The sequence below is a fragment of the Homo sapiens genome, chromosome 10, assembly GCF_000001405.40.
Source record: "Homo sapiens chromosome 10, GRCh38.p14 Primary Assembly".
In the NCBI taxonomy this organism is placed as follows: domain Eukaryota; kingdom Metazoa; phylum Chordata; class Mammalia; order Primates; family Hominidae; genus Homo; species Homo sapiens.
The window spans coordinates 25,996,607-26,020,405 of record NC_000010.11 but is presented as its reverse complement, the minus strand read 5'-3'; the positions used below and the strand labels follow the sequence as shown (position 1 = coordinate 26,020,405).

Genomic DNA, 23,799 nt, shown 5'->3' with positions numbered 1-23,799 from the left:
TACACCCATGTCATCCAGGAAAGGTGACTACTTCATAAATAAATCTTTATTAATACCTGACACTAATGGCAATGACAGGAAACAGTTTAGTTATAAGCATATCAGTGTGATTAAAAAGTAAAAAGAAGGCAATGATAAACACAACATATCGGGCAACAGACACTCTTGAGAGGAGGCAAGGAGTTGGGATAGAGGAAGGGATAGAGGCCAATGCATGCTATTGGTAATATTCTGGCTCTGGCGTGGATGGCGAGTTTATGGGCAAATAAGAAGACCATTAACCAATTCATTTCTAAGTACCTGAAGGACAATAATAAATTATGCATGTGCATATATGTGCATATATATATGTCTATATATAAAGACAGAATAGTTTCTCAACTTAAGAGTTAGTTTGATGGGACATCATCATACACAGTGCTTGTTAACCTTTTCTATGAAAGTATTTTTAATATCACATGAGAGTGAACTGCTGAAATCAGAGAGCACAGCCTGAAGTACTGAGGGAAACAGTAAAGTCCTAAGTTTTACATTAAAAATTCATGTGGCAAATATTCATAGGAATATTGCTCATAATAACAAAAAGTGATAAACACCCAAATGTTCATCAACTGACAAATGGATAAACATAATGTGGTCTATACATACAATGGAATATTATTCAACTCTAAAAATAAGTGATGCATTAATACATGCTTCTACATGGATGAACCCTGAAAACATTACACTAGGTAAAAGAAGCCAGACACAGGGCCATATATTGTATGACTCAATTTATTTAAAATACCCAGGCCAGGTACAGTGGCTCACGCCTGTAATCCCAGCACTTTGGGAGGCCAAGACAGGCGGATCACAAGGTCAGTAGATCGAGACCATCCTGGCTAACATGGTGAAACTCCATCTCTACTAAAAATATAAAAAATTAGCCAGGCGTGGTGGCAGTTGCCTGTAGTTCCAGTCTCTACTAAAAATATAAAAAATTAGCCAGGCGTGTTGGCAGGCGCCTGTAGTCCCAGCTACTCGGGAGGCTGAGGCAGGAGAATGGCGTGAACCCAGGAAGCGGAGCTTGCAGTGAGCCGAGATTGCGCCACTGCACTCCAGCCTGGGGGACAGAGCGAGACTCCGTCTCAGGAAAAAATAAATAAATAAATAAATAAATAAATAAATAAATAAATAAATAAATAAATAGAATAACCAGAAAAGGCCAGTCCACAGAGACAGAAAATAGATTAATGGTTGCTTAGAGTAGGAGAGTTTAGGCAAAGATGAGGAGTGAATGTTAATGAGTACTAGGTTTCTTTGAGGGGGAGCAAAAACGTTTGTGATGATTGTGATGATGATTGCACAGCCCTGTGAATATACATTAAAAATCAGAATATTGTATGTGTTAAATGACCTAATTCTATAGTTATACCTTTATAAAGCTGTTAAAAATTCAAAAATGCATTCATACGAATTTCTCATTCTGTTGTCTAATATAACTTTGTTTGCTAGAGTGTAAAAATAATGTCTTTTGCCCCATCATTTTTTTCCTAAGGAAAATTATTTTTCAGGATAATACATTATTTCATGAATTTACATGTGTGGTCAGAGGATATCTACCCATATAGGCTCAGGTGAATCTATGTCCCAGTTTGCCTTAGACATTCTTGTTTAATGCTTGTAGTCCTAGAATCATAATAAATATCACCCCCTTTCGCTCTCCAGGGTGTCCTGGTTTGTATGATAAGTTGTACAGTCACCTACTACAGTCGCTAATTCCCTTGTTACCTTCATCCTGGCAGAGGATGTCTTTATGTAACCAGCAAATGCTACTTTTGATATAGAATTTAATTTAAACATGCCAATCAAGAATTTCACTTTTCAAGTGATAATTGATTTGAACAACCTTGCCTCCTGGGCTCTAAAAACACTGAAATACTTCTATGCCATTATGGTGAATATATTTATATTTGTTCACCTTATTGCTTTCTAATTCTTAGAAATCTGCTATTAATACCATAGAGTGGTAGATATGGAATATCTTGATTAACTAGAAAGCTGATTATTTAAAATATGTTCTTCAAGTTTAGAAAATACTTATTACAGAGAGATGAATATAATATGAACAAAATCTCAAACATGTATTTCCATGACAGCTTGAAAAAAACTGTAGTGAACCTTTTTTCATGTTTATTATATCCATTAGTTTGCTAAGCCAGAAAGAACTTTCAAGCCCTACTGTGCTACTATAGGTTTATTAATAATAAAACTGACATCAGAAAAATTACTGTCTAGTAACTGCATATTAATAAGTGTTTTTACTAAATGGAAATTTAAATATTGAATAATGGCTTGTTATAATAAATAAACATACAAAACCCATAAAGCTAGGATATTAATTATATAATGATATTATATGTAATATTATTTATTATTATATTAATATATGCAAACAAAATGCAATATTTGGTATTATAACTAGGTTCTTATTAACTTCTCATTTTTGTAATTTTTTGGTAAGTTTTAAAAACACTAGTAATATATCAGAACAAACTCTAAAGAAACTCTCCTTTGAGATTCTCCTATTCAATTTTTGTTTTTGCTTCTATGACTATACTTTATATTTTTACTCTAAGATATGCTCCATGGTAAAAAAATTTTTTTAATCCATTGTGGATTTTTTTAAGTTTCTTAAAATACTTCATTCTCTGTCCATATTTTGTATTAAGTTTACATTTTAACTTGTTTTGCAAGTAATAATTAAACAAGTATTCAAATAAAAACAGCATACCAGCTTTTAATCCTCAAATTTAATTATAAGATTTGAAAATATTAATATAGTATATTAATTACTTCTCCTCCCTTCACTCCCTAGAAAACTGGAGATAAATAGCAGCGCTTTCCCCAACAGTTGTAGAGAGAGTCTTCAAAAATAAGGGTCCTTCATAAGTGATAAACATAATTTAAAAGATTAAAATCATTAATAGTGATGGGGGGAGAAGATGACTCTTGAAAACTTTTTCCCTCAACTATTTTAGCAGTTTATCTGCAACCTCCCAAAGGTAATGATGTAAAGAATTTATTAAAGCTGAGCATAGCCCCCAGGCAGAGTGACTCAACACAGGAACCTGCCATATGGGTTAATGGACCTGAATCTGATCCCACAAAGGCTAGGGGTTCCGATAATATTATATTTCTACTATAATTTTAAAAGATAATGTAAATATCATTAGTACAGATACATGCTAAACACCTAAATTTAATGAAAAATCAAACCTGGAAGTAGTTTCTCTTTACATCATCTGGTTTACTCATTCCCTCTTTCATTGACTCGTGTTCATTCACAGCCCATTTATTGACCACCTCCCAGGTGCCTCCTCACACATGCAAAATTCTCACATGAAAATAACACAACTGAGAGTTTCTTCTGTTATATTCCAAAATGCTTACAGAGATAGAGTACACATAAAAAGGAAAGTCAAACAGGATCAGCTATTACGTTTGTCTGCCTCAAAACTCTATCTGACCTCAGGAGCCATCCAAAACGGTGTTCCTACGGATGTGTTCCGACGGTGCCGGGTACTGGTGAGCTGTGCAGACACACCTAGAGGAAGAGACAAGATGTACTTTTTTGCATTAATTACTCATATAAAGAGCTTTCAATTGCTATAATCTTTTTTGCAAACTAATATTAAAATTCCATTTCCTCAAACCTGCCAGTGGACCTAGTGTCACATTAAAGGATCCTAAATCAGGATTTCTGCAGAGCCAAAAACCAGAATGGTGCTCCTACTTTCTCTTTCTCAACTCCAAATCCTGCTCCTTCCTAAAGCCCCATTTCAAGTCTTAATTCCCCCATGCTGGCTTTTAATCTGCTCCAATTATACTGATCCCTATTTCTTTCTATCTTCTACATTGTAAACGATTTTACATATTTTGTCATGTAATTGTTATTTGAATGGCGTGCTTCCTCCCTGCCCTCTTCCTGTCCCTGCCCACTAACAAATTCCAGTGAGTTTGAGAATGTCCTATATGGTGTTATGCACATAGTAGGTGACTTGTGAATCTTCATAAAATTATTTTCCATCTACCAACCCTGGGCAAATCACACCTTATCTGACTGGAAGTTTCAAATTAACTATATCTATTTAAACCAACATCATTAACAGAACGAGTTCTCTTCCTTTAGAGAGATTACAGACTGAAGAGCTACAGTAAAGAGGTATAATCAAATATTTCAGTCATGTCATTCCATTAATTGCACCTTGTTAGATACACTCATAACTGACCTTCAAGAGAATTAGGAGTACAGTTTCTTTTCTCCATTTTCACACTCCTGCTCCTCACACAAGGGGTCCTGGTTATCTGACTGTACAGAGCTCCTACCCTTCACCTTGCTCTGGACTTGATGGGTTAAACCCAAATCATGGGCTTTTACTACCTGATTTCCCTGCTTTGAAAAGTGCCTCCCCAAAGTCACATTAATTTTAGGCTTTGGTTGCTTATCTTAAAAGCCAAGTAGAGGAAAGGTACTAAAGGAGATTTAAAATGGAAATATATTTTATTTCTCCAAGATGGCATTTGACTTTTACCATGAAATTCAACGGCCATATGCAACCAAATGGGTGTTTCAGTATTGGAAATATACTTAGACAGAAGAGTGAGGAGTGTAACATTAAAAACAGGACACATGCCCAACTATGAACAAGTGACAGAGGAAGGAATTTACTAAATTTCATGTTTTTTGAGTGCTATGCAATGCCTGTTAAACATCAAGATCATTAAACTAACACAAAACTAGCTTCACAGCTAGAAGATAACTTAATGGTCATGAATTCTAACTTGCTCATTTTCAGGTTAGTAAACTTAAGCTGGAAAGAAAAGTCACTCTTCTGAGGACAAATGATATTTTTACTTAGTGTAAATTCCCACAAGAAAAATAGCTAAGATAGAAAAATGCAAAATTCTATTAAAATGATTGACATAAATCACTTTTAAAGGCAACAGGGATCCAAAATATGGGTTCAGGAGCCCTAGGAAGTAAAGAAGATTAGGAAAATCATCTTGTCTAGAGAGTAACTAAAGGAATAAGTCACCAAGATAAACAGTTACATAATCATCTCAAGAGAGAAGCTGCTGATGGGTGGAAAATTCCAGGCAGAATGTTGGTATAATGAGAAGATACAGAAAGGAAAAAGAGGTCAAAAAGGACCAAGGCTGAACAGAAAACAGGCTAATAGAAAGAGCAATAATCTATTAAAAGTCAAAGCCACAGGAACATTATAGAGGTTTAGGTTTATGTTAATGCTTCTTCAGTCGTTTGCTTTGCTAGGGAATTTTCAGGCTATTTTAGTTCTGTCCAACAAGGCTTCCTGGGCTATTCCATGGCTGTACAGCAACTCCATTCCCTATCGCATAAGTGCTATTTCTAGGGATAGAAACATGCAGGCTTTATTCTTGTAGTCAAGAAAACTCTTAGGATCTTAGAAAGACAGCAGAAACATCAAATATGTGTTTTCTATTGTGGCTCAAATAGACCAGACAACTTCTGGGAACTCAATTTGCTATAACCCTTGACATCTCAATAGAGCAGAGAGAAAAGCATAGTTTTTGTCATTGTTAATAACAAAATACTGTAGGAATGAGAACTGAAACTATAAAAATATAGAATTTTGTCAACATAAAGGGGTCATAAATTGTATTATACCATCTAACATTATTATTTTGTTGATGAGGTTAAGACACTGTGATAGTTAATTTTATGTGTCAACTTGGGAGGGCCATGGCTATTTTAGGTCATCCAACAATGCTTCCTAGACTGTTCCATGACTGTACAGCCACCCCATTTCCTATTGCATAAGTCAAACAGTATTTGGTAAGACTATATTCTGGATATTTCTGTGAAGGTATTTTTGAAATCAGATTAATATTTTGAAATCAGATTAATATTTAAATTGGTGGATTTTTTTAAAGTTAAATAAGACTTTTATATTGGCATGCAGTAACAAGCAAAAGTTTTGCTCTCCCATTTCTGAAAGTTATATGAAGTTTAAAACCTAGTTCTACAGTTGACATTTTTAAAAGGCCTAAGACTTCCACATTGGTTAGACAACTCTTCGCTTAAAATAGTTTTTATTTATTTTTTTATTTCAATAACTTTTGATGTACATGTGTTTATTTGTTACATGAATGAATTATACAGTGGTAGATTCTGAGACTTTAGTGCACCCATTACCCTAGTGGCGTATGCTGTACCTAAGAGGTAGTTTTTTTATCCCTAGCCCCACTCCCGCTCACTCTCTTCTGAGTCTCTAAAGTCCATTACATCACACATGTATGTAATACATACTCACAGCTTAGCTCCCACTTATAAGTGATAATATATGGTTTTTGGTTCTCTACTCCTGTGATATTTCACTTAGCATAATGGCCTCCAGCTCCATCCAAGTTGTTACAAAAGACATTATTTTATCCCTTTTAATGGCTGAGTAGTATTCCATGGTGTATACATGCAACATTTTCTTTATACATTCATTAGTTGATGGGCACTTAGGTTGGTCCCACATCTTTGAAATTGTGAATAGTGCTGCTATAAACAAACAAGTACAAGTGTCTTTTTCATATAATGACTTCTTTTCCTTTGGGTAGATATCCAGCAGTGGAATTGCTGGATCAAATGGTAGATCTACTTTTATTAATAGCTCTTTAAGGAGTCTCCATACTATTTTCCATAGAGGTTGTACTAATTTACATTTTCACCAGCAGCGTGTAAGTATTCCCTTTTCCCCATATCCCTGCCAACATCTATTGTATTCACACTTTTTAGTAATGGCCATTCTTGCAGGATTATGGTAGTATATCTCATTGTGGTTTTAATTTGCATTTCCCTGATGATTAATGATGTTGAACAGTTTTTCATGTTTGTTGGTCTTCATATATTTTCTTTTGAGAAATGTCTATTCATGTCCTTTGCCCACTTTTTAATGGACTTTTTTTTTATTGGTAATTTGAGTTCCTTGTAGATTCAGGATATTAATCCTTTGTTGGATGCATAGATTCCAAATATTGTCTCCCATTCTTTGGTTTGTCTGTTTATTCCGTTGATTATTTATTCTGCTGTGCAGAAGATTTTTAGTTAATTAGGTCCCATTTATTTATCTTTGTTTTTGTTGCATTTGCTTTTGGGGTCTTAGTCATGAATTCTTTGCCTAGGCTGATGTCTAGAAAAGTTTCTCCAATGTTGTCTCCTAGAATTTTTAATAGGTTCAGGTGTTATATTTAAGTCTTTGATCCATCGTGAGTTGCTTTTTGTATAAGGTGAGAGATAGAGTTCCAGTTTCATTCTTCTACATGTGGCTTGCCAGTTTTGCCAGCATCATTTATTAAATAGGGTATCTATTTCCTAATTTATGTTTTTGTATGCTTTGTCAAAGATCAGTTGGCTGTACGTATTTGGCTTTATTTCTGGGTTCTCTATTCTGTTCCATTGGTCTATGTGCCTACTTTTATACCTGTACCATGCTGTTTTGGTAATTACAGCCTTGTAGTATAATTTGAAGTCCAGTAATGTGATGCCTCCTGATTTGTTTTTTGTTTTTGTTCAGTTTTTTTGTATTGTTTTGTTTTTTGCTTAGGATTGCTTTGGCTATTTGGGCTCTTTTGGGTTCCATATTAATTTTAGAATCATTTTTTTCTAATTCTGTGAAAAATAATATTGGTATTTTGATGGGAATGGCATTGAATGTGTAGATTGCTTCAGGCAGTATGGTCATTCTCACAATATTGATTCTTCCAATCCATGAGGATGGGATACATTTCCATTTGTTTGTGTCACCTATGATTTCTTTTGGCAGTGTTTTGTAGTTCTCCTTGTAGAGATCTTTCACCTGTTCAGTTAAGTATATTCCTGAGTATTTTTATTTTGTTTGCAGCTATTGTAAAAGGATTGAGTCCTCGATTTGATTCTCAGCTTGGTCGTTTTGGGGTATAGCAGGGCTACTGATTTGTGTATATTGATTTTGTAACCTAAGACTTGACTGAATTAGTTTATCAAATCTAAGAGTTTTTTGGAGGAGTCTTTAGGATTTTCTAGGTATACAATCATATCATTTGCAAACAGCCAGGTTTGACTTCCCCTTTTCCAATTTGGATGTCCTTTATTTCTTCTCTTGCTTAATTGCTCTGTACTTCCAGAACTATGTTGAATAGGGGTGGTGAAAGTGGGCCTACTTGTCTTGTTCCTGTTCAGGGGGAAAGCTTTCAACTTTTCCCCATTCAGTATGATGGTGGCTGTGTGTTTGTCATAGACGGTTTTTATTATTTTGAGATAGGTGCCTTCCATGCCTAGTTTGTTGAGAGTTTTTATCATAAAGGGATGATGGATTCTGTTAAATGCTTTTTCTGCATCTATTGAGATGATCATATGGTTTTGGGTTTTAATTCTATTTATGTGATTCATTACAGTTATTGACTTGTATATGTTAAACTATCCCTGCATCCCTGGGATGAAAACCACTTGCTTATGATGAATTATCTTCTTGACGTGCTGTTGGATTCAGTTAGCTAGTATTTGGTTGAGGATTTTTGCATCAATGTTCATCAGGGAAATTGGTCTGTAGTTGTGTCCTTTCCAGCTTTTGGTATCAGGGTGATACTAGCTTCATAGAATGATTTAGGGAGGAATCCTTCTTTCTCAGTCTTTTGGAATAGTTTCAGTGGGATTGGCATCCATTCTTCTTTGAATGTCTGATAGAATTCAGTGAATAGGTCTGGTCCTGGACTTTTTTTGTTGACAGTTTTTAAATTACTAGTTCAATCTTGCTGTTTGTTATTGGTTTAAGGTTTCCATTACTTCCTGATTCAATCTAGGAGGGTTGTATGCTTACAGGAATGTGTCCATTTCCTCTATGTTTTCTAGTTTGTTGAAATGATTTTTAAATAATGTAAACTAAGTATATAAATCATAATTTTCTTTTTTTTTAAACTTTTTTAGACATGGTCTCACTTCCATCGCCCAGGCTAGAATGCAGTGGTGCAATCACAGCTCACTGCATCCTCAATTTCCTGGGTTCAGGTGATTCTTCCATCTCAGTCTCCCAAGTAGTTGGCACTACAGGCGCACACTACCACACCCGGCTGACTTTTATTTTGTATTTTTAGTAGAGACAGGGTTTCATCATGTTGCCCAGGCTGGTCTTGAACTCGTTGGCTCAAGCGATTCACACACATCTGCCTCCCAAAGTGCTGGCATTACAAGTGTGAGCCACTACCCTGGGCCAGGAATAATCATCTTTAATATGTAAATAGACCTGTGAGCCAGGGAGGCAGAGGTCGCAGTGAGCCGAAAGATTGCACCACTGCTCTCCAACTTGGGTGACAGAGTGAGATGCTGTCTCAAAAACAAAAACAATCCACAAAGTAAACAGAATGCTATATTTGACAATCTTATTTAATTAAATAGTATTTAACAAATATATGCAAAACTCTTCAGTTAGTATATTTCAAAACCATTGTAAATCTCTAGCAAATGGAATATTAAAGTGTGCCCTTCAGCAAGTCATTTTGCTTCTGTAGGCTCTTGTTTTCTCATTGTTTAATTTAGGGGATTGGAATAAATAAGTGATCTTTATTACTTTTGGATTAAAAACTACTTAGTGAATCTTGGCGGGGTGCGGTGGCTCATGCCTGTAATCCCAGCACTTTGGGAGGCTGAGGCAGGTGGATCGCGAGGTCAGGAGTTCGAGACCAGCCTGGCCAATATGGTGAAACCTCGTCTCTACTAAAAATACAAAAATCAGCCGAGTGTGGTGGTGTGTGCCTGTAGTCCCAACTATTTGGGAGGCTGAGGCAGAAGAATCGCTTGAATCCAGGAGGCGGAGGTTGCAGTGAGCCGAAATTGCGCCTCTGCGCTCCAGCCTGGGCAACAGAGCAAGACTCCATAAAAAAACAAAACAAAAAAAAAAAAAAAAAAAAACAACTACTTAGTCTATCTCATGGATGCTATATACTTTCACATCAAGAAATTCATATTCAGACATTTTGCATATAACAAGGTTAAAAAATCTTTTGAGGTTCCTGTACTTTATACCAAATGATATTTAAGCTTCTTTCTAGCTTTAAGATTCAATGAGTCTCTACAGCAACTCAAGGTAACTGGCTCACTCCAACCACCTTTCCAATCAATATTCATGTGATTTCTCTTGGAAGTCCATCCTCTCCAGTCTTCCTGGATCTAGATCTTTTCCTTTCTTTAAAACTTAGTTCATATCTGATAATAAAGATAATTATATGGCTTTCTTTAAAGATCTCAACATCACACTGTTTGCTGCATTCTTCTTGGCTTTGGACATATGAACTATGCACCTAGCTCTGTCTGCATCATTCAATCCTGGATGACTATGTACATGTGTACATATGTCCAGTACTGGACCTTAGCTGTAGAGAGTATACAGCATACTTCTCATTCATGGTACACTATCATCACTGATACCTTGTCTTATTTTTCCATTTCCTTTTTGCCCCATTTACCTGCTCCATTGTCCTCTCTCCTGCCCACCACAATTTCTATTAACTTAAAGTTCTTCAGAGATTAAAATTTTAGAGCTGCAGACTAAGATATTTTAGTTCTAGTCCAAAATACTTGTTTTACAATGAGAAGGACTGAGAAGCAAAGAAGTCATTCTTAAAAATATAAGTAAAGTCCTCTTGGTTTACCTGAAGTTATCACATCATAGAGAAGCACACTTGGTAGCTCTTAATAAAATTTCTACAGCTGTGTTGAGGTCAGACAAGGGAGGTTAAGGCTTCTGTTTTTGAGTGAACTTGATAGCAACATAAAAACTCCAGAGGTTGCTCTGCACACCCGCACCTGAGGAGTAGGGAGAAGAGACTGTTTCTCCAATGAGAGAGTAGGAGGCAGCAAGCAGTCTCAGCTCTTGCCTTTCACTTACCTGTCCCAGTTCCAGTCCCCTTGGGCCTGCTCTCTCATTTGTGAGACTGCTTTTTGTATTTGGCCTTTTTTAAAAAATTTATTTTATTATTATTATACTTTAAGTTTTAGGGTACATGTGCACAATGTGCAGGTTAGTTACATATGTATACATGTGCCATGCTGGTGCTGGTGTGCTGCACCCATTAACTCATCATTTAGCATTAGGTATATCTCCTAAAGCTATCCCTCCTCCCTCCCCCAACCCCACAACAGTCCCCAGAGTGTGATGTTCCCCTTCCTGTGTCCATGTGTTCTCACTGTTCAATTCCCACCTATGAGTGAGAATATGTGGTGTTTGGTTTTTTGTTCTTGCAATAGTTTACTGAGAATGATGATTTCCAATTTCATCCACGTCCCTAAAAAGGACATGAACTCATCCTTTTTATGGCTGCATAGTATTCCATGGTGTATATGTGTCACATTTTCTTAATCCAGTCTATCATTGTTGGACATTTGGGTTGGTTCCAAGTCTTTGCTATTGTGAATAGTGCCGCAATAAACATACGTGTGCATGTGTCTTTATAGCAGCATGATTTAGAGTCCTTTGGGTATATACCCAGTAATGGGATGGCTGGGTCAAATGGTATTTCTAGTTCTAGATCCCTGAGGAATCGCCACACTGACTTCCACAATGGTTGAACTAGTCTACAGTCCCACCAACAGTGTGAAAGTGTTCCTATTTCTCCACATCCTCTCCAGCACCTGTTGTTTCCTGACTTTTTAACAATTGCCATTCTAACTGGTGTGAGATGGTATCTGATTGTGGTTTTGATTTGCATTTCTCTGATAGCCAGTGATGGTGAGCATTTTTTCATGTGTTTTTTGGCTGCATAAATGTCTTCTGTTGAGAAGTGTCTGTTCATATCCTTCGCCCACTTTTTGAGGGGGTTGTTTGTTTTTTTCTTGTAAATTTGTTCATTGTAGATTCTGGATATTAGCCCTTTGTCAGACGAGTAGGTTGCGAAAATTTTCTCCCATTTTGTAGGTTGCCTGTTCACTCTGATGGTAGTTTCTTTTGCTGTGCAGAAGCTCTTTAGTTTAATTAGATCCCATTTGTCAATTTTGGCTTTTGTTGCCATTGCTTTTGGTGTTTTAGATATGAAGTCCTTGCCCATGCCTATGTCCTGAATGGTAATGCCTAGGTTTTCTTCTAGGGTTTTTATGGTTTTAGGTCTAATGGTTAAGTCTTTAATCCATCTTGAATTAATTTTTGTATAAGGTGTAAGGAAGGGATCCAGTTTCAGCTTTCTACATATGACTAGCCAGTTTTCCCAACACCATTTATTAAATAGGGAATCCTTTCCCCATTGCTTGTTTTTCTCAGGTTTGTCAAAGATCAGATAGTTGTAGATATGCGGCGTTATTTCTGAGGGCTCTGTTCTGTTCCATTGATCTATATCTGTGTTTTGGTACCAGTACCACGCTGTTTTCGTTACTGTAGCCTTGTAGTATAGTTTGAAGTCAGGTAGTGTGATGCCTTTAGCTTTGTTCTTTTGGCTTAGGATTGACTTAGCGATGCAGGCTCTTTTTTGGTGCCATATGAACTGTAAAGTAGTTTTTTCCAATTCTGTGAAGAAAGTCATTGGTAGCTTGATGGGGATGGCAATGAATCTATAAATTACCTTGGGTAGTATGGCCATTTTCACGATATTGATTCTTCCTACCCATGAGCATGGAATGTTCTTCCATTTGTTTGTATCCTCTTTTATTTCCTTGAGCAGTGGTTTGTAGTTCTCCTTGAAGAGGTCCTTTACATCCCTTGTAAGTTGGATTCCTAGGTATTTTATTCTCTTTGAAGCAACTGTGAATGGGAGTTCACTCATGATTTGGCTCTCTGTTTGTCTGTGATTGGTGTATAAGAATGCTTGTGATTTTGGCACATTGATTTTGTATCCTGAGACTTTGCTGAAGTTGCTTATCAGCTTAAGCAGATTTTCAGCTGAGACGATGGGGTTTTCTAGATATACAATCATGTCATCTGCAAACAGGGACAATTTGACTTCCTCTTTTCCTAACTGAATACCCTTTATTTCCTTCTCCTCCCTGATTGCCCTGGCCAGAACTTCCAACACTATGTTGAATAGGAGTGGTGAGAGAGGGCATCCCTGTCTTGTGCCGGTTTTCAAAGGGAATGCTTCCAGTTTTTGCCCATTCAGTATGATATTGGCTGTGGGTTTGTCATAGATAGCTCTTATTATTTTGAGACACGTCCAATCAATCCCTAATTTATTGAGAGTTTTTAGCATGAAGGGCTGTTGAATTTTGTCAAAGGCCTTTTCTGCATCTGTTGAGATAATCATGTGGTTTTTGTCTTCGGTTCTGTTGATATGCTGGATTACGTTTATTGATTTGCGTATATTGAACCAGCCTTGCATCCCAGGGATGAAGCCCACTTGATCATGGTGGATAAGCTTTTTGATGTGCTGCTGGATTCGGTTTGCCAGTATTTTATTGAGGATTTTTGCATCAATGTTCATCAAGGATATTGGTCTAAAATTCTCTTTTTTGGTTGTGTCTCTGCCTGGCTTTGGTATCAGGATGATGCTGGCCTCATAAAATGAGTTAGGGAGGATTCCCTCTTTTTCTATTCATTGGAATAGTTTCAGAAGGAATGGTACCAGTTCCTCCTTGTACCTCTGGTAGAATTCGGCTGTGAATCCATCTGGTCCTGGACTCTTTTTGGTTGGTAAGCTATTGATTATTGCCACAATTTCAGAGCCTGTTATTGGTCTATTCAGAGATTCAACTTCTTCCTGGTTTAGTCTCGGGAGGGTGTATGTGTCCAGGAATTTATCCATTTCTTCTAGATTTTCTAGTTTATTTGCGTAGAGGTGTTTGTACTATTCTCTGATGGTAGTTTGTATTTCTGTGGGATTGGTGGTGATATCCCCTTTATCATTTTTTATTGCATCTATTTGATTCTTCTGTCTTTTCTTCTTTATTAGTCTTGCTAGCAGTCTATCAATTTTGTTGATCCTTTCAAAAAACCAGCTCCTGGATTCATTAGTTTTTTGAAGGGTTTTTTGTGTCTCTATTTTCTTCAGTTCTGCTCTGATTTTAGTTATTTCTTGCCTTCTGCTAGCTTTTGAATGTGTTGGCTCTTGCTTTTCTAGTTCTTTTAATTGTGATGTTAGGGTGTCAATTTTGGATCTTTCTGCTTTCTCTTGTGGGCATTTAGTGCTATAAATTTCCCTCTACACACTGCTTTGAATGTGTCCCAGAGATTCTGGTATGTTGTGTCTTTGTTCTCGTTGGTTTCAAAGAACATCTTTATTTCTGCCTTCATTTCGTTATGTACCCAGTAGCTAGTTGGGGCATCTAGTCCTTACAACTAAAAGATCGTTGACTGAAACCTACAGCAGTTTCTATAATGTTAAATAGCTTAATTCGACTTTGAAAAATAGTCAGTTTTGGAACTCCTGAGCCCACAGGTTCTGCTTGAATCATAAAGCTCTAAAATAAAGAGTCCACTTATTCATGGTTCAACTTTACATAATAATTATAAAGACCTTGCCTTTCAAATAAGGTAAAAGTCGCCTCCTCAAAGTACAAAAATGTATTCTGGATGAGTAATATATTAATGTTTTATATAGTTATGAGCATTTGAAAACTCTGCCAGCTTTTAAAATGGTTTCCCCCTAGTTTCTTTTTCAGTGTATTATTTCACTCTATAAAGCACTAGCTCTCAAATTTTCAAGATTCATAACATTCAACTAATATGTATTACATATATACATATATATACACATATACACATAATTTCAACCTTAGAGAAAAGTTGGCAAGAAAACTACAAAGTACTTTTATTCCTGAACCATCTGAGAGTAAGGTGGGCTACATAATGCCCCTTCACTCCTATATATTTGTTTGTAATTGCCACAAACAAGGATATTCCCCTTACACAACCTTCAAAATCAGGAATTTTAATGCTGATACACTTCTATCATCTACTCTACAGAGCCCATTCAAATTTCATCAACTGTCCTAAATATGTCCTTTAAAACAAAATGATCTAATCCGGGATTATGTGGTGCTTTTAGTTGTCAAGTTTCTAATCTCCTTCAATCTGGAGGAGTTCCTCAATCTTTTCTTGAATTTCATGAACTTAACATTTTTTTTTAAGATTTCAGGCCAGTTGTTCTATAGACTGTTCCTGAATTTGGGTTTGTTGTATATTCCCTCACGATTTTATTTTTGGCAGGAACATCACAGAAGTGATGCTGAGGTCTTCTCATTGCATCCTCTCAGGTGCTGTGTGGTTTGCATTCATCTCATTACTAGTTATGTTTGCTTTGAGCACTTGATTAATGGTTGTGTCTGCCAGTCTTCTCCCCTGTAATCTTTCCCTCTTTCTTTTGTAATTAATTAGTATTTTGTGGAGAGATATTTCGAAACAATTAAGCTACCCTATTTCTAATCAAAACTTAACTCACTAGTTTTAGCAGCCATTGAAATTTTTGGATGAATTAATTATTACATAGATGGTTACCAAATGATGAATTTTAAAATTACACGATTTCTTCTATCTTTACTCATCAGCATTCTTCTGTAAGGAAAAGCTTTTGCTTCTCCCCATTCATTTAATTATGTATGTATTTATGACAGTATGGATTAATGGAGTTTTTATTGCATTCAGTGAATTACTATCATTACCAGCAATATTAGTATTTTGGTGCTCAAACTGTCCCAGATCTAGAGAGTAAGAATTGCTTCAAGTTGGTTTCTGTGTGCTTCTGACATGTCTCCATCATTATTTGAGTATTTCCTTATTTGGAGGGCACAGTAAGTTCCAGGGTCATCTCATGGAGCCCTAAAATCAGCCTTTCTCCAAGAATCCTTGATTCCTTTTAGTTGAGAATTACATTTAAAAACCAAAAGCTAGGTGCTAGATGTGCTCTCTTAATACCCTGTTAGTGGAATTAGCTAGGTAATATGTACACACACACTCACATGCATTCACATTATATTTATTTTTATATGTTTATATATATTAATATAAACAGATATTAAATATATATAAAATGGTGAGTTCACATTGATACCTCCAATTCCAACCCAACATCACTATAATTCTTTTCTGTAACAGTAAGAAACCTGCCGCCCGTTGTCCTCAGTATATCTCCTGACTGTATCAGGCCTCCTTTAGGTAACCAGTCTCTTCTCTCCACCCTGATCCCTATGCAGATACCTTTCTCATCTACAGGAAGTTCGTCCCCATACAGGATCATCCCCATCACCCTACATGGATGTGCTTCTCATCCCACTTGGGGACCCAACACTCCCTGCCAGCAGATACCTTCCTTACCCCTCTCAGACTCCAAACTGCCTACTGAGCTGCACCTGGACTCCCATGCTTGCTTGTCCCACCCAATGGCTTTTGTTCTAAATTATTCATAAAGAAAGGAAGGATTGAAGGGCACTCCATAATTTTTAAGTTCGGGTGTACTGCCTCACTTGGTGCTAAAAAGTGGGTTATTAATAAACAAATCACAGCTTCTCTTTGACCTACATTATGCATTGGGGATTTGGTCTAAAATGGGGCATGTGGGTAATAAGAGATTTAAAACCATAAAATATTCTGTCATAAGAATGAGGTCTAAATAAATCACAAAAAGTACATTCTGTACTTTTGTATTGAAATGTTAAGTATCCTATTAGAAATGAAGTTCCCCAGAGAGAAATCCGCAGAAATAAGAACTAAGGGCTGTCCTTTAAATTTAGTCTCTTTCATTTTCTATTCAAGATAAAGATTGTTTTTTTTCAGACATTAGTTCACTTGCCTGAAGGGATCTATCTCCTGGGAAGTCATATTATTGATTGACTGATCATATACCAGTAATGGCTAATACATTTCATTAATAATATTTATAACCTCACTTGTCATTTTGCTCTCTGAGGTATCTGGTGATTTTTTGTAAAAGTATACCCCACTTAATAAAAAACTAAAAGTTTTTCTTAAAGGCCGTATTCATAATGAGCATTAGCAAACTGAATCTTACTTTTAGTGTAATTAGGTAGCTTCATATTTAAAGTAATACTGAATTTATTCTAGCAGAGGGTTACTGTTTTCTTTTTTGGAAACATAAAGAGGCACCTCTTTTGGAAACTCAGATTTTCATTATTTAGCAACTATTTATTAAGCACCTACTATGTGTATAGCACTGAGCTATAGGCTAAGTAGGAATATTATCTCATAATAATGGTAACAGTTTAGATTTTCTGAATTATGAAGTATCAGCAATTATACTAAGTAGTTTGCCTCTGGCATCCCATTTATTCTTCACAGCAACCAATCTTAGGAGGCAGAGACTTTTTCACACTTGTAGATGTGCAGGTTGATGCCCTTGCAGATTCTGTGTGACTTTCTCATTGTCACATAATTATATGGCAAGTCTTCCCCCTCCTTCATTCATTCATTAAGTACTTTCAAAATGTTAGCACTGTACCTGGTTCTAGGGACAAAGTGACAAAGTGATAGACCAGAGAAATCTACAGCTTAGCAGAGAAAGTACTCAAATAAAATATGATTACAGTGAAGTCTGACAACTGGTTGGCTAAATGAAGTACAGGGCGTTGGGGAAAACTTGGGCAAGCAGAAGTTAGCTGGGTGCTGTTAGATATGAATTCTAAATTTCTTTTCAAAGAATCAATATGTCAGTATGTTCAATTCTTTGCCTTCTACTTTTAAACTTAACTTCCTCATAAAGCAACCTTTTTCAATTACCTCCTCCACCCTGACTCATTTCAATCACCTGCTCCACCCTGACTCATTCCGATTACCTGGTCCACCCTGACTCATTCCGATTACCTGGTCCACCCTGACTCATTCCGATTACCTGGTCCACCCTGACTTATTCCGATTACCTGCTCGGTCATAACCATTTTTCCTGCCAAACCACTTACCCCATCACTCTCTTTAATTTAGCCAATCAGAATTAGTTTAGCCTGTGCGGTCTAACCCTAGCCAATAGGGGAACGACACAGCAGCAGGGGCCACGTGCATCAGTGATAAGAACCCCTTCCCCTCCCTTGTGCAGGTGTGCGCTCACCATTGCTCCATCTCTAGGGGTGCATCCTTCTATAGAAGTAACTTGCCTTGCTGAGAATTAAAAAGAAAATTTTATATTTGAATTATATTCGAGTGCTATTTCTTTTGTGGTACTGAAACTTTATATATAACAGTGCAGAGGAGAGGGAAGGTTTCTATGCAGGGAAAGTATCATGTGTGTAACTGGTCAAAATTCAGAATCTACTCTTAGATACACAGAGAAATTGCAATTTCTTCGTTTTTACTATAACTATTATGGCTTTTCCCCAAGCTCATGCCCACTGGCTGGAAGAAAAATAAAGCTCAGTTAAATTCAATAAATCCATAAGTCCTTTTAGATAGGGTTCAGTCTCTCTTGGATAAAAGTGTTTTCTCCATTTCTCAGATGGCATCCCTCCTCAGAAAGGGTCTCACTCTGCCACCCAGGCTAGAATGCAGTGGTGCAATCACAGCTCACTGCAGCCTCGAACTCCTGGGCCCAGGCAATCCTCCCACCTCAGCCTCCTGAATAGCTGGGGTTACAGGTACATGTGACCAAGCTTGACTAATTTTTTAAAATAAGTTTTTGTAGAGACAGGGTCTTGCTATATTGCCCAGTCTGGCCTCTAACTCCTGGGCTCAAGTAATCCTCCTGCCTCATCCTTTCAAAGTGCTGGGATTATAGGCATGAACCACCATGCCTGCCCCTCCTCCTTCTTTTAAGACCTTGTGTCAGGAGAAAAGAGAGGGTCCTTGGGCATGGTGGCTTTCTAGTTTAAGGGGCCATATGCTTTTGTCTGCCTAGCCGCTAGGTGCCCTACTGGGCTCCCAGGCCGTAGTCTGCCTCCAGGGAGCTTGTGGTCTGTTCCTCTCATGCAGAGAGCACTTCCTGTGGCTCCTCCTGCAGATTAAGTCTGTTTGCTCCAGTTAGAGCTGAGAACACTCTGAGTTCTGGCTGACTCCCATTTAGACACAGCAGAGCTGGCCCAGGGGATCTGCCCAGTGCCTCACTGTACACCCACCCCCCTTATCTTCTGAAAAACCCCTTCTAGAAACTTTCCAGCCAGATTATCAATTACTTTCAGGTTTCTGGAAAACTAAAGCTAAGGGTTTGGAAAAGCTAACTTGAGTCTTTCCACTATCTGATCATTCTGCCCCTCCAGGTTAGCAATGATGTGGCTCACCGCAGACAGGAATGCCGCAGATTCTGAGTGGCTTCCTCAGGAATGGCGAGTGAGAGTGGTAGGAAGTGTGAGGGTGACATCATTTGGTTCTGTGTCCCCACCCAAATGTCATATCAAATTGTAATTTGGGGGAGGGACCTGGTGGGAGGTGATTGGTTCATGGGGGCAGATTTCCCCTTGCTGTTCTCGTGATAGTGAGTTCTCACGAGATGTGCTTGTTTAAAAGTGTGTAGCCCTTCCCCCATCACTCTCTCTCTCCAGCCACCATAGTAAGATGTGCCAGCTTTGCCTTTGCCCTCCTGCCATGATTGTAAGTTTCCTGAAGCCTCCCCAGCCATGCCTCATGCACAGCCTGTGGAACTGTGAGTCAATCAAATCTCTTTTCTTTATAAGTTACCCAGTCTCAGGTAGTTCTTTATAGCAGTGTGAGAATGGGCTAATACAGAAGGTAAGAGCTCCTTCCTGCCCTCATTATCTTTTTAAAAGCTCATCTCCTACACTCCAGCCTGGGTGACAGAGGGAAACTCTGTTTCAAAAAAAAAAAAGCTCATCTCACTGCCCTGCTTCACCCTGTTTGATCTTTCCACAATGACCCCGTCTTATAAAAAAAAACCCTGTGGTGTATCCCTGAAAACTTCTCTCCATATGCTAAAGAGAAGGTAAGCAATTTAGACAGATTTTCCTCAGGAGATAGGCTTTCCTCAGGAGATAGCCTTGCTATAAATTCCTATTTTTGAATGCTAAAAACTGAATGTTACCTCAATCATTTTTTTTGCAATTTGCATTTCTTCTAGAATAAATGTTCATTATTTTCCCACTGCCAAACAGAGTGATGCCTCAGGCACACTGGGGTGAAGATCATGTTATCAGGCAGGAAAAAAAGAAAAAGCACGTCAATAAATTTCGAAGTATTTTCCAAGTTACAAGTGTAAGAGCTCTGACTGGGAAAGATTATGGCACATTTAAGGTAGTGAAAGATGTGGACCTGGCTAATAGGTAATAGGAAGAGAGGGTACCTGATTAGCACCAAGAGATATAAAGAAGTTATTACTCATTAGTTGCTTACTCTGTTCCAGCACGGAGGATCATAAGGAAAAGCCTTCCCCAAGGGATGGAGATACTGAACAAGGTAGTCGCAGGATCAGATGTGTTTTTTGAAAGGATCCCCCTGGCTGCAGTGTGGAGAAAGGATTGGAAGGAAAGGAAGGAGATTAGGATGCAGGGAGTTCAGTAAAGTATAACTGCAGGAGCCCAGGCAAGAGATGAGGGCTAGAACTAGGGCAGGAGCAGTAAAGATGGAATTTGGCGATATCTAACAGAGAGACAAGTTTTGTGTCTAAGTTGTATAAGTGGGAGGTGAAAACAAGGGAAGACTCGAGGATGAGCTTAAGATTTTCGTTTTGAGCAATGAGTAGATGTGGGCGACTTTCTAAGACAAGAAACTCTTTATATGTAGCAGATTTCTAGACAGATGAGGTGGTGCAGCTCCATTTTGGACATTCTGAGTATGAGGTGCCTGACAGCTATCTAAGATCTTCAGTACCCAATAATGAGCTGATAGTATAATTATGAAGTGACAGATTCAAATAAAATTGATTCTATAACCCTTTACTCCCAGCTGTAGCTTTCTCTGAAAATTTGATTTAAAAATAAAATGAGGACATTGATTTTCAGTTTGATTCTGCAGGTTGTGGTTTACCACATCTTGTTCTTTCTGCCCTCAAGAATTTTCAGTATAAATGTACACCCCTACCATCCTCAGGTTTTAATTCATACAACAACCTACTAATCACCATAGGCAAACTGAATCCATGTCCTCTTACTGTGGAGAATAGAAATATTATAAGTACTATCTTATATGTAATTAATAATATTTTGGTGTCAGATACTAGGAATGCATTTCATAAGCAACTGGCCCTCTTTTCTAATTATTGCCAAAAATCTATAAATCAAATAATATAAGACCAAAGCTCTCATTTTGTTAACTACTCCAATTTATGATGTTTTAAAAAGATATCATATAAAGGCCAGGCACGGTGGCTCACGCCTGTAATCCCAGCCCTTTGGGAGGCCGAGACGGGTGGATCATGAGGTCAGGAGATCGAGACCATCCTGGCTAATATGGTGAAACCCCGTCTCTATTAAAAAATACAAAAAATTAGCCAGGCATGGTGGTGGGCGCCTGTAGTCCCAGCTACTAGGTAGGCTCAGGCAGGAGAATGGTGTGAACCCAGGAGGCAGAGCTTGCAGTGAGCCGAGATCGTGCCACTGCACTCCAGCCTGGGCGACAGAGTGAGACTCCATCTCAAAAAACAAAACAAAACAAAACAAAAATATATAAAAGGTTGCCTTATTTGTTATCTAAGTATATGTTTTCAATCTAGTTTATTTTGGAGGAAATCATAGGAATTTACATTTCTCAAAGCTTCTGGTTTACCAAATTTTTCTTTAATAGCTAAAAAGTTGTTTATTGATACTTGTTTTAACAATTTTCAATCTATGCTATACTTACTGTATCTATTTTTTAGAGGAAGGGAATTGTGAGATCCCAAGTTAAATAGCAAGTTCTCCATTTGAGTCTGTCTTACAGGGTAGACAAAATTATTTTCTGGAGAGAATAATGGCCCCTCCTATGAAGCAGTGAAGAATGATTTGTTGTAATTTCAAGCAGAAGCCCTTATTAGTACACTAACCCAGACAGATTGCTCAAGGCTCTGAATTCAACCAGAAACATAGACTAGCTGCACCCCAGTTATTAATCAGGAATTCACAAATTCACTGCTGCTCAGAAGTTTTCAAATGCACAGGTGAGAAAAACAAAGCATAGGCACATGCATGTTTGAGGATACACTATTCATCCATTCCTCTCTAGATGCTCTGAAATTCATTCCTGGGCTAAGCCAAAATACTTAGATATTAAAGAAATTTTAAAAATTAACCCATTAACTTGCTGAGCTTTAGTTTCCAAAATGCAAAATGAAGGAAGACTCATTCATTCAACTAACACTCAGTGGACTTCTATACTCAAAGCATTAGGTCTACGAAATAGACTAAGACACAGTCCCACTTCTCAAAGACTCTGTCTGTCCACCTATATTTCTAAGTATCTTTATCTATAAAGACCAAATGTATAATTATAATTCTATACGATAAATGCAAACAAGGAAGTATACACAGGTTACAGAAACACAAGGAGGGATACCTTACCCACCTACAGTGCAAAAGGGAAGGAGAATAACGACTGAAGGATACTGAGACATCTTCAGGATTACTGTCATCCATTCTCACAAGAAAGTTTAGTAAATATGGAAATTTATTATTTCACATAACAAAAGGTCCAGAGATAAGGTAGGCTCCAAAGTTGATTGACTTAGTGCCTCAATTATGTTATCAAACACCCCCATTCTTCCCCTCTCTCAGCTCTGCCTTTCTCAGAGCTGGCTTTCTGCTCAGGACAGAGCATCTTAGTCACAGGTAACTGTAGCAGTTTCCGGCATCACTGTATGACATGCAAGGGTCCTGAGGAAGAAAGAGACCATCTTTTCCTGTTTCTCCTTAGGAGGGAGGAAATACTCCCAGATGATAATGAAAATTTCCCCTCACATCTCAAAATCCTGGATTTGGATATATGTCCATTTGCAAAGCAATCACTAGTAGGAACCATGAGATTGTCATTATAGGCTTACAGTAATCATTTGAGATGCTGTCTGTTTTAGAGGATCAACTACGCATGTTACTACACTGGTGTTATATGAGCACAAACTAGCTGACTTGAAAGAAGTTACCCTTTCTTCTGGGAATCTCTCATTTGCCAAATTATCTCTGCACTTCTTACCTCAATAAGATACTACTGATTTTTCCTCTATTTCCAATACCTAGAAAGGAAGGCCATTCGAAAAAGATCAAATCATATCATACTAGTTCATTATGGAGTTAAAACTCATGCATTTTAAACAAAACTTACCAAAATCTACTAGTTTCACTCCACCTTCCGTGGTCAATAGAATGTTATTGCCTTTCACATCTCTGTGGATAGTTTTGTTGTTATGCAAATGTTGAAGTCCCTAGAAGATAAGAAATATATAATGACTCTTAACAAAAGCATCAAACAATAAAAATTTTCAGATGATGTACCTGTACAAAATCAATAGGAAACACATAATAAAATTAACATTCAGACACTCAAATGTTTCACATTGAGTTAGTCACATCAAAGAACATCATTTCCACTTTGAATTATATAAAAATTCACAGAATCAAAGCATGCTCCTTAATTCTTAGCAAATATCGTATTACAAATGTGTGAGTTTCAATGGAAGAAAATATTTCATATACCTATCTAAGATAATGGCCAAAAAACCCTATTATTAGTTTTCTACCTTCATCACTATCACAGTCTCAGAAATACACTTAAGAGGTCAGAATTCAGGATCCTGTTGGTCCAATGAAAGTAAATTTGTAGTGGAAAAAAAGAATTAGCTATGCTGAACATGTCAGATTTTGCATATATTCTTCCATCAATAAATACTAATGTAGTATCACTAGTGACATTTTTCTAAAAATAGGATCTACATTTTTTAACTGGAACTGCTTCATAATTAATGCACATACAATTT

General features: G+C 37.3%; 1 protein-coding gene across 21 annotated transcripts in view, besides 2 other annotated features; it reads right to left on the bottom strand.

Moving 5' to 3' along the window:
- MYO3A (myosin IIIA) overlaps positions 1 to 23,799 on the bottom strand; it is a 278,304-nt gene that overhangs the window by 192,127 nt on the left and 62,378 nt on the right. For all 21 annotated transcript variants that reach the window (XR_930494.1, XM_011519498.3, XM_011519500.3 and 18 more), the window contains 2 exons: positions 23,148 to 23,247; positions 3,510 to 3,586 (listed from right to left, as the gene is read on the bottom strand). Coding sequence is in view for 20 of the 21 variants with exons in the window: in XM_011519498.3 (XP_011517800.1) it covers positions 3,510 to 3,586; positions 23,148 to 23,247 (177 nt within the window). In the remaining variant the exon portion in view is untranslated. The remainder of the gene's footprint in view (positions 1 to 3,509; positions 3,587 to 23,147; positions 23,248 to 23,799) is intronic.
- Positions 17,235 to 18,434: an enhancer, noted in NCBI's record as "BRD4-independent group 4 enhancer chr10:26290901-26292100 (GRCh37/hg19 assembly coordinates)". NCBI's record gives its function as "activates an origin of replication core promoter dependent on BRD2, P300/CBP, MED14 and CDK7 cofactors, and independent of BRD4, by STARR-seq in HCT116 cells {active_cell/tissue: HCT116}" and the evidence as "EXISTENCE:reporter gene assay evidence [ECO:0000049][PMID:35650434]".
- Positions 18,752 to 19,951: an enhancer, noted in NCBI's record as "BRD4-independent group 4 enhancer chr10:26289384-26290583 (GRCh37/hg19 assembly coordinates)". NCBI's record gives its function as "activates an origin of replication core promoter dependent on BRD2, P300/CBP, MED14 and CDK7 cofactors, and independent of BRD4, by STARR-seq in HCT116 cells {active_cell/tissue: HCT116}" and the evidence as "EXISTENCE:reporter gene assay evidence [ECO:0000049][PMID:35650434]".